Source organism: Homo sapiens, chromosome 7, assembly GCF_000001405.40.
Source record: "Homo sapiens chromosome 7, GRCh38.p14 Primary Assembly".
In the NCBI taxonomy this organism is placed as follows: Eukaryota; Metazoa; Chordata; class Mammalia; order Primates; family Hominidae; genus Homo; species Homo sapiens.
The window spans coordinates 10,019,486-10,030,208 of NC_000007.14; the positions used below are offsets into that span (position 1 = coordinate 10,019,486).

General features: G+C 33.2%; 2 annotated features.

Moving 5' to 3' along the window:
• Positions 3,457-3,751: an enhancer, noted in NCBI's record as "tiled region #1694; HepG2 Activating non-DNase unmatched - State 24:Quies". NCBI's record gives its function as "activates a minimal TATA promoter and a strong SV40 promoter by Sharpr-MPRA in HepG2 cells {active_cell/tissue: HepG2}" and the evidence as "EXISTENCE:reporter gene assay evidence [ECO:0000049][PMID:27701403]".
• Positions 3,457-3,751: a silencer, noted in NCBI's record as "tiled region #1694; K562 Repressive DNase unmatched - State 13:Ctcf". NCBI's record gives its function as "represses a minimal TATA promoter and a strong SV40 promoter by Sharpr-MPRA in K562 cells {active_cell/tissue: K562}" and the evidence as "EXISTENCE:reporter gene assay evidence [ECO:0000049][PMID:27701403]".

Genomic DNA, 10,723 nt, shown 5'->3' on the forward strand with positions numbered 1-10,723 from the left:
ACTGCATGAAACCCTCAATACAGCTTTTTTTAAGCAATCCTAAAACTCTGCATTTTGAACTTACATAAATTTCTAGAATCTGGTATATTAGTTAATTTACATAATATAAGTGTTTAAACAAAATGTTATCTCACTTTAAAACTGTTTCCATTCCAGATGTAGGTTATGAAGGGAACATCCACCTTTCAGTATCCTCCATTTTGCTTTCATACAACAACTGTTCACATGTGACTATTTCTACTGCTATGTAAGCCAACTATTTCCCATGTCTATATTACAGACACACTATCAAGAAATAGAAACTGTTCAATGTGGCAAATATTTTCCAGCAACTGTGTCCATTTTGCAGAGACGATATGTTTTCATCACCTCAAGGATGACTGACCATGCAGTCAAAAAACAAAGACCAATCCCCAACAAGTGATGCCAGCTAAAGAACTTTCCCATGTAGAGTGTGACCACGATTAATAATAGTTTTACAGCCCTATAAAGCTCAAAACAAATATGAATAAAATGAACAGGCATCCCTGTAAAAGTCAAGAAGACAAGTCAGAGGTATATCGATTGAGTGGAATGTTAATATATTAATAACATTGATGACATAAGTGATTTATTTCGTTGACAGAATTCAGAATGAGATTCATTTATCATCATCTCCTACTCATCCATCAGTAGGATATTGTCCCAAGTAGTTGGCCTTCTATTACCAATTTAAGTTTTTTTATAGTAATTATATTAGAGAAAGAATGCATTATGGTTGTGGTTCACTATATTATAAATAAAATATAAACAAAATTAATGTTTTGTATAAACTAATATGTTATAATATTCAAATGATAGTTCTATTACTTCGTTTTACTTATTTTATACTGCACTAGCTCCTACCCTCTCCAAATTACCTAGTTTGGAAAGACAATTAATTTTAATTCCACACTAATACTCTTCTCTTCAAAAAGAAGGATGATAATAAGCCCCTGATAAAAATGAATACAGTTTAAATAATGTCCACTTGATATGTAAGATCTCCAATATTTAATCAGATAACATCAATAAATTCCAATGTGTGCACACTTCAGAGAAGATGGATGAGTATAACCATATATTGGCCTGGAAGCTTTCTCTACTTCTTCAGAAGCTCCTAAAGACCCATTTTGGAATCTGAATAGTTCAATGAGCGTATCTTACCAATAGAGACAGATTACAGTGGAAAAGTAATAGAAGAGCAGCCTCTACACAACTGGCCAGAATTTGTGACACTTAGATCCAGTTCTAAAGACATCAATGAATAAAGAAGAAATTTAGGGCAGATGACAGAGGACACATATATGAATGGGGAGAGAATATAAGGTACATGGAGGTAAATATGTCGAAAGAAGTTGGGGTAAGAACATGAAAATGTTGCGGATATTACAATGGAGTTTTAATTTTATTCTTCAAAGGAAGAGTGACCAAAGAGTCTTAAACTGGAAAAGAAATGATCAAATATGCAAATTAAAGAGAGATCACCCTGACAGCTGTATGAAGAATGGTCAGGAAACCAGAGGTGATTAGGACATCAAAACAGGTCAGCCAAAACTTTTAGACATCTCAAAAGCTTCAAGATCCAAAGGGCTACATCTCTAATTATAAAACTTAAGACCCTGTGACTTGTAAAGGTATTGTGTGACTAAAATTTTCTCTAGTTTTTTTAGATCACCATGTGCAAAGTTATTGCTACATAGTATATTAACAGAAAAAGATAATGATAAAGTTAAAACATACCTACTTCAACAAACTAAGCAGAAGCTGATGAGTTTCTCACCTCATGAGATGGACACTAGAAGTGTAAACATATATTTCAATAAAGCCAATGCATTTTTCAAATATGTGTTTTGATTGCTACTAAGTTTAAGTCACTACATGCTAAGCCATTATATTAGGTATTACATTAGATGCTAAGGCATTATGTTACATGCAGGGGCTGGGGAAGAAATGGAATAAAAATCAAGGGGTAAAGATGAAAAAAATAAGGCTACTGATGGACATAAATTACTTTTGTGTTTCCATATTTAGTTCTTCAGTAGTTTCATTCGTTTTCTTACCATCTTAAAGCACTTTATGATGGCATGGTTTGGAAGGAGAAATAATTTTAGAACCCAAGCACTGTTACCCTTGGTGACAAAGGGCCTTCAAGGGATGAGAATGAAAGGAATCAAAAAATATTTGTATGCGTGTCTACTTGACCTGAATGCTATATGCCTCACTCACTGATTAAATCAGGTCCTGGTACTACTGGAGTTTAAAATAATGACTGAGAAAATTAGAACAAGTCTTAAATTTACTGATAATTTTGGCAGATGTTGAAATTGGGTCCATGTGCAGCTTAGCCCATTATGCTTCAGTGGTTTTTAATGTAAAATGTGCTTTAAGATTTTTTTTCTCCAGATAGAAATTGTCTGCCTTACCTTCAGAGATATTGTATCCTCAATGAAAGATCAGATTAAATGGAATAAGTGCTTGCTTATACATTTGGATTAAGAGAGTGCAGCTGAAAGGATGCTTAAAATATATCTTTAAACCTAAGTGCAAAATTTCCATATGTACCTTGAAATATGTATTGGGGTGTTAAATGTGCTCAGTAAGCTAAGCAATGTGTTAGATAATTAATAAACATTTAACAGCATTGATTTTTACAGCCTGCTTTATTGAACTTCTTATCAGTATTGAGCAGATGGGTCATAACTATGAAAAATTATATTTTAAACACGATTACTATATGTGGATTATATTTGAAAAATACTGTTCAGTGAAGCACTTACAAATGTAATTTAACGCACAGAGCAAGACCCCAAAGTTAAGGTAATTTTTCTTGCATTAAATACAAAGGTACTTAACTGATATATAAAGAATATTATGGAGTTGTTTAAAAATAAATGAAAAAACAACCCCCTATATGAAAGAATAAAGTAGTATGTACAGTATCAGCTAGGAGTAAACAATTAATTGATTTTTGCTTTTACTTAGCATATAACAAATTCATTCTAATTACTTTTTAATATTATTCTTGATATTAAAAATGTTTGAATTTTTGTATTACTACTATAGAAATCGGTATTACTATAATAATCTCTTGGAATGACAACTACTGTTTTATAAGCCTCAAATTGTAGTGAACACACACACACACACACACACACACACACACGCACACACACACACAGATGAGTCAAACATTAACTCATTCCTGATACGGGACTGAGATAATGTGAAAAGCCCTAATAATTTTTTTTTGCAATTTTTTCCAAATGAATTTATTTGTTAATATTTACATATTTCAGCCATTATTTTATTATGACACAAATATATTTAAGATAAACACTGTAAAGTATAGGTTATCCTTTTTAGAAAGTAGTAGGACCAAAACAAATGATTATTGAACCTATCACAATTTTCAAGAAAGGTAACCAGCCTCTAGCATGGTCCCCAATAATCCATGCTTTCTGCTATTCAAACTTTTGTGTAGTTAGTATGTCACCTTTGACATCTGATTATGAAAAGCCTGTAGCTTCAGTCTTGGTCCCTCTCTCTCTCTTTCTTCCCCACTCCTACCACTGCCGGCCCAGCTTTCTGATGGTTCACTCTGAGGGAAGCCATATTCCATTCCAAACATTCCCAGAAGAGGCCACTGTGGCAAAGCACTGAAGTCCTTGGCTAACAGCCAGTGAAAAAAACAGACGCTGTCAATAACCAGAAAAGTGAGTTTGGAAGTGGATCCTTCCCTAGTCAACTCTCCAGATAAAACTGTGGCCACAATACACCTCATGTGGGACCTTGAGTCAGAACTACTCAGCTAAGGCTCTCCCAGAATTCTGGTTCACAGAAATTGTCAGATAATATTTATCTTAATCTCCTGAGTTTTGGGATAATTTGCTGCATAGCAATTAATACACCAGATGACATATCTATCCAATTGTACCCAAGAGACATCATGCTTGATAATATGAGACATACATAAAGAGTGGACAGCATGTGAATGCTTAGCATATTTACAATCTAGTTAAAATAATTAAGATACATACAAGTAACATAAGACAGTCAAGAAAAAAATGTGTACTAAAATAATGATATTAAGAAAATGACATTGAAACATAGGAAGTAGAGTCATTTTTGTTGAGGAGCTGCATAAAGCCATATAGAAATGGCACAAGTGAACTGATGTGTGGCTGGTGACTATGATTTGTACATAAGGCATTCCAGGATGAAGACAAAGTTTGCACAAATGCATAAAAATGGTAAAGTACAGAGTGTACAAAAAAATCAGAAAAAAACTTAGTTGGACTAACTGTATAGCAGCATATGTAATAGATTAGAAAAGTAATACCTATTCATGAGACATAGAATATATTAATATTCCAAGTCTAGCATAAATTAGGTGATTTGGGGAACCACAATTTATCTAAATTTTCATATATGCTTTGTTAAAGTGTTAGCAATTTTGATATATTCATGGTCTTGCAAAAGCATCTGTATTGTAGGTTGGGATGCCCTTGCAATGCTATTTCACTGCTGATCCATTACCAACAATCAATTGGATACATGCAAAAAGAGAAAAAATTGCATCTGAGAAACAAAGATAAAACTGAAAAACTTTATAATTTTCTGGAGTTTATACTTGAGCATAGTCATGGATAATAAGTTATGTTCAGCATTCCAACTCTCAGGAATTGGTCGTAATTGCCTAGATATCTGTGTTGTATAGGAACATAGGCTATATCTGAGTTTATAGAAAAATTGTGCCATGATCATTTTGGAATGTCTGCCATGGCAACAACAGAGAAAAGAGGTGGCATTTGTACATGCTATTTGCCATATTTGTATATGAAAGAAGAGGTAGAACATACACAGGAAAAGAGGACCATAAAGTGATTATGTTAGCTCAAGCTGTGACACATTTACAATAATAATTGTTATTAAATTTTTTTAATATTTAAAATATTAAGATTTGATTATTATAGGAAGCTTTAGAAGAACAGAACTCACGTTCAACCTTATAGAATAAGTTGTATATTATTAGAAAATCTTTAAAAATGAGAACATTTGTATTTACAATTTAAGTTTTAATGTTGCATCATTCAATGTTTATTCCCATTTAACTTAGTTTTACATATTAAGTTATCTCTGGATTCTATCAGTATTATGGATCAATTTATTTGTAAGTGTTATATTTGGTCAGATAGTTTCCATACTATCCACATAGGTAACAAACTAAGCAAATCAGTTGAGAATGTATTTATTTTCAAGTAATAGATACTTGACTAACTGAAAGTTGAACAAAGAGGGGTTCTTTTCTTCACATATGAAAAAATCCATAGATACACAGTTGCTGGCATTCCTTCTGGTTTTCAGTGATGACATAGTAGCCTCATCTGTTTCTACTTCCCTTAGCCACCAAAAGCATGCTAGCATCTCACCTCATGTTTAATGGCTTCTGGTTACAAAGACTGGTATAGCTCAGGACACCAAGTCTAGGCTCAAAGTAAAAGCATGGTGGAAGGGGAAGGAAGGGCCCAGAAATAGTTCACTCCTTTTAACAGGACATCAGATATCACCATAAATTTGATTGTGCAGAACTTAGTCCTTTCCAGTTGTAAGCAACGCATTATCTATTACTTAGGGATATGCACATTGCTACTCCAAATAAAGTCAGCACATGGATACTAAAGAAAAAGAGAAGAATGGATAATTTGTAAGCAATAAACCATGCCTGTTTCACGAAGCATAACGTTACACAAAATATGTGCGGTAAGCCCACAGAATTTATTTTCAAGAATCATTTAATGAATTATGTTATCCTTGATAGTTGTAAAAAGAATTATTATTCATTCACCAATAATTTATAAATCACCTATTATGTGGCAAGCATTTTTAAAGTTTTAGGAGTGTAACCATTCTGAGGTTTATTTTGGAAACAAGTTACTTTTCAAAAGCCAAATATATCAGAATTTACATTTTTAATATAATCTTGGAAAACTAAAGCATTGAGTCATTCATAACTATAATAATAATTAAAATATCATATATGAAAGTGACTTTATTTTTATAAACTAGAAAAAACTGACAGGTGAAATAAAAATACCACTTACAATAGAATAAAAAACATCAAATATCTACGAATAAATATAACAAAAAAAGCCCAACATCTCTACAATGAAAATAACTAAACATGAGTAAGACAAATTAAACAAGATAAATGAAGGGTAATTCTATATTCATGAATTGGAAAACCTAGTATTTTTAAGATTTCACTTTTACTTTTACAATTTGACATAAACATTTAATTCCATCCCAGTCAAAAGCCTAGCACATTCTTATGCTATCTATCCAGTGACAAAAAATGTATATGAAAATGCAATGTATCTGGTATAACCAAGACAATGATGAAGAAGAAAAAGTTCAGAAGCTACCCTACCCTATCTTAAAACTTATTATGAAGCTACAAAAATTAACAAGCACAGAGTTAGCCTAAAGATAGATGAACGTACTAAGGAAAGTTCAGAAATAGACATATACATGCATAGTCATTTCATTTATGACTATTAAATAATTGAGCCAAAGAAACAGACACAAAGAATACACAGTGTGATTCCATTTATTTAAATCTCAAAATCAGGCAAAACTAATGTATAGATTAGAAATCAACATAGTAGTTATTTGGGGCAGAGGAAAAGCTGTAATTGGAAGGGAGCAGAAGAGGACTTTGGAGGTTCTTGTAATAACCCACTTCTTGCTGTGGGTGCTAGGGTGTTCATTTTGTGAAAATGTAATAAACTGTGCAATTATGATTTTAAGGATTTATATGTGTTATACTTTAATAAAAAAGTTTACATAAAAATCAATGCTTCCTCTGCGCCAGCAAGAACCATTATAAATGTTATGTTAAAAAATAGAACGGACCCTTTTTAATAATAGCCATTCTGACTGGTGTTAGATGGCATCTCACTGTGGTTGTGATTTGCATTTATATAATGATCAGTGATATTGAGCTTTTTTCATATCCTTGTTGGCCGCATGTATGTCTTCTTTAGAAAAAAGTCTGTTCATGTCCTTTGACCACTTTTCACTGGGGTTGTTTCTTTGTTTTGTTTTTTTCTTGTAAGTTTGCTTAACTTCCTTATGGATGCTGGATATTAGACCTCTGTCAGATGCATAGTTTACAAGTGTTTTCTAGCATTCTGTAGATTGTTCACTCTGATGATAGTTTATTTTCCTGTGCAGAAGCTCTTTAGTTTAATTAAGTCCCATTTGTCAATTTTTTGCTTTTGTTGCAACTGCTTTTGGCATAGTCATGAAATCTGTGCCTGTTCCTACGTCCAGGATAGTATTGCCTAGGTTGTCTTCCAGGATTTTTATAGTTTTGGGTTTTACATTTAAGTCTTTAATCCATCTTGAGTTGATTTTTCTATATGGTTTAAGGAAGGGATCCAATTTGAATCTTCTGCATAGAAATAACAGATGCTGGTGAGTTGCGGAGAAAAGGGAACACTTATACATTGTTGGTGGGAGTGTAAATTAGTTCAACCATTGTGGAAAGCAGTATGGCAATTCCTCAAAGAGTCAAAAACAGAACTACCATTGGACACACCAATCTCATTAGTAGGTATATACCCAGAGGAATATAAATCATTCTATCTTAAAGACACATGCATGTAAATGTTTATTGCAGCTTTACTCACAACAGCAAACACATGGAATCAACCCAAATGTCCATCAGTGATAGACTGCATAAAGAAAATGTGGTACATATGAACCATGGAATATTATGCAGCCATAAAAAAGAATGAGATCATGTCTTTGCAGGAATATGGCTGGAGCTGCAAGGTATTATTCTTAGCAAACTAACACAAAAACAGGAAACCAAATACCACATGTTCTCACTTATAAGTGGGAACTAAATGATGAGAACTCATGGACACAAAAAAGGGAACAGCAAACATTGGGGTCTTGTCAGGGGGGTGCTGGAGAGGAGCAGAAAAAACAACTTTTGGGTACTAGAGTTAGTACCTGGGTGACAAAATAATGTGTACAACAAACCCCTGTAACATGAGTTTACCTATATAACAAATCTTCACATGTATCCCTGAAACTAAAATAAAAGTTAAAAAGTAAATAAAGAAATTTGATTCCTTCAAAAATGATAAAACTGACCCAAAGTACCAAAGATTAAATATCTATAGAATGCCTCAGAATAAATTCAAGATAAAATGTACAAAATCACTATGGATTATAAAATATTGTAACAAAAAAGACTTGGCAAAAAAATGAAATACATACCCTGCTACTGAATGAGAAGACACACTGTCACAAATGTTGATTAAGCCTCAGGTTCAAATACAAATTAAAGGGACCTTCAATCTGAATTTCAATATAATTTTTCACGGTATTTCCCAAATTGACTCCTATACATAATACATTTCAAACTAGCCAAGTCAAATCCTAAAAATAAAATAAGAGATGGTTTTGGACTAACATTAAACAACTGATTTTAAACGTCTGAAATTAGCTCAGAAATAGACAAGTAAATCAAAGGAAGAGTGCCTGTAAACATACATATATGGGAACTTAGTGTATGTCAAATACAGCATAAGAAACCAGTTAAGAAAGGGTAAACTATTCAGTATCTGATATGGTGGTAACTTAATTTTTATATGCTGAAGGCATCCTATCTACCAAAATATTCAAAAACTAAATTCCAGATCCAGTTCTATTTAAAACTCCAATTTGAAATATTACTGTTTAAAAATTATTAGAAGAAAATATAAGTTAATATATTTATGATCTCCATGAACAGCAAGTATTTCTTAGGCAAGTCCCTCAATGAATAAGTCAGTAAAAAATGATAAATTTAAACATAACAAAATCTGAATAGTCTATTTAACAAAGACAAGCAAAAACCTGTGAGAAAAAAAAAGATAGTACACACTATATTACATATAAAATATAGGAAAAATAAAATATAGGAAACACTATACTACATATGAAAAAAGATACGTATATACTATATAAAGAACTTCTGTAAATTAATAAAAACAAATTACAATAGAGAAAAAGAACATATTAAGACAGGTCACAGAACAAGAAAAAAGAATGAAAAATATACTTCTATTTTGATAAGATCATTTTGGCTGTGTGAAGAATAGAGTGCAGGAAAATAATGCAGAAATTGGGAGACTAGATAGAAGTCTACAGTAATGATCCAGGTGAGAGATACTAATGGTACAGATCAGGGTGTAGCAGCAGAAATTCTGATACATAGCCAGATTCTTTGTATATTCTGTTGATTGTGTCATAGCATTAACTAATATATTACATGTGGAGTATGACAAAAGGGAAGTGTCAAGGATGAGTTCAAATTTGCTCTGGAGTTAGCCTAAGTAACTGGCAATATGAAGTTGCTATTTTCTGAGATGAAAAGTTCATATCAGGAAAAGGTTAATAGGAGAATACCAGAAATTCAATTGTGAATCTGTTAAATTTGAGGTGCCTGTAAAATACCCAAATATTGGCCAGGCGCAGTGGCTCACGCCTGTAATCCCAGCACTTTGGGAGGCCGAGGCGGGCAGATCACGAGGTCAGGAGATCGAGACCATCCTGGCTAACATGGTGAAAACCCATCTCTACTAAAAATACAAAAAATTACCTGGGGGTGGTGCCAGGTGCCTGCTATCCCTGCTACTTGAGAGGCTGAGGCAGGAAAATGGCTTGAACCCAGGAGGTGGAGGTTGCAGTGAGTCGCCATCACGCCACTGCACTCCAGCCTGGGCGACAGAGCGAGACTCCTTCTCAAACAAAGAAACAAACAAAATTCCCAAGTAGTGTCTCCTCCTTTCTTTCCAGGAGATAGTTAATATATGAATCTGAATTATGCAGAGAGGAGGGGACCTAGAATTGAACACTGGGCCACTGTAAATTTTAAAAGTTGGGGAAAAGACAAGTAAAGGTGTGAAGTGGGAAGAAAGGGAAGTAAATAAAGCATTCCAAAAGAAAGGGTGGGACTGAATATATCAAAGTCTGCCATTTGTTCAAGTAAAGCCAGGACTGAGAATTTAAATTAAATTAAGTTTAATTTAATTTAAACATAACAAAATCTAAACAGTCTATTTAACAAAAAAATACTAAAAAGACAAGCAAAAACCTGTGAGAAAAAAATAGATAGGATACACTATATTACATATAAAATAAAATAAATTTAAATTAAATTAAACCTAACAAAATAGGCCTTTGAAAACTTGTCAAGAGGTTTAACTAATTGGCGAAGAGTCAGGAGAGGAGGAGAGGAATAAGGAGAACAGAAAACTCTTTGCAGAAATTTTTTTGGAAATATGGTTGCATATGGGGAGAGAAGTAGGATTAAGAATGGTTTGTTGTGTATTTGCTTACTGTTAGTAATAAGTGTTCTCCTGAAAGATTTACATACATACACGAGTATATTTATACCTGTAGAGTAAAGAGATTTAGTATGAGGAATTGGCTTACATGATTCTGAAGTTTGAGAAGTCCCACAATCAGCAATCTGGAGACCAAAGAAAGCAGGTGGTATCATTCAGTTCAAGTCCAGAGGTGTAATAATGAGTGGAGCTGATAATGCAAATCTCAGGTCAAGGGCAGGAGAAAACCGATGTCCCTGATTCAAATCCTAATCTCATCTATAAACACCCTCATGGACACACCAGAAATGTTTCACCAG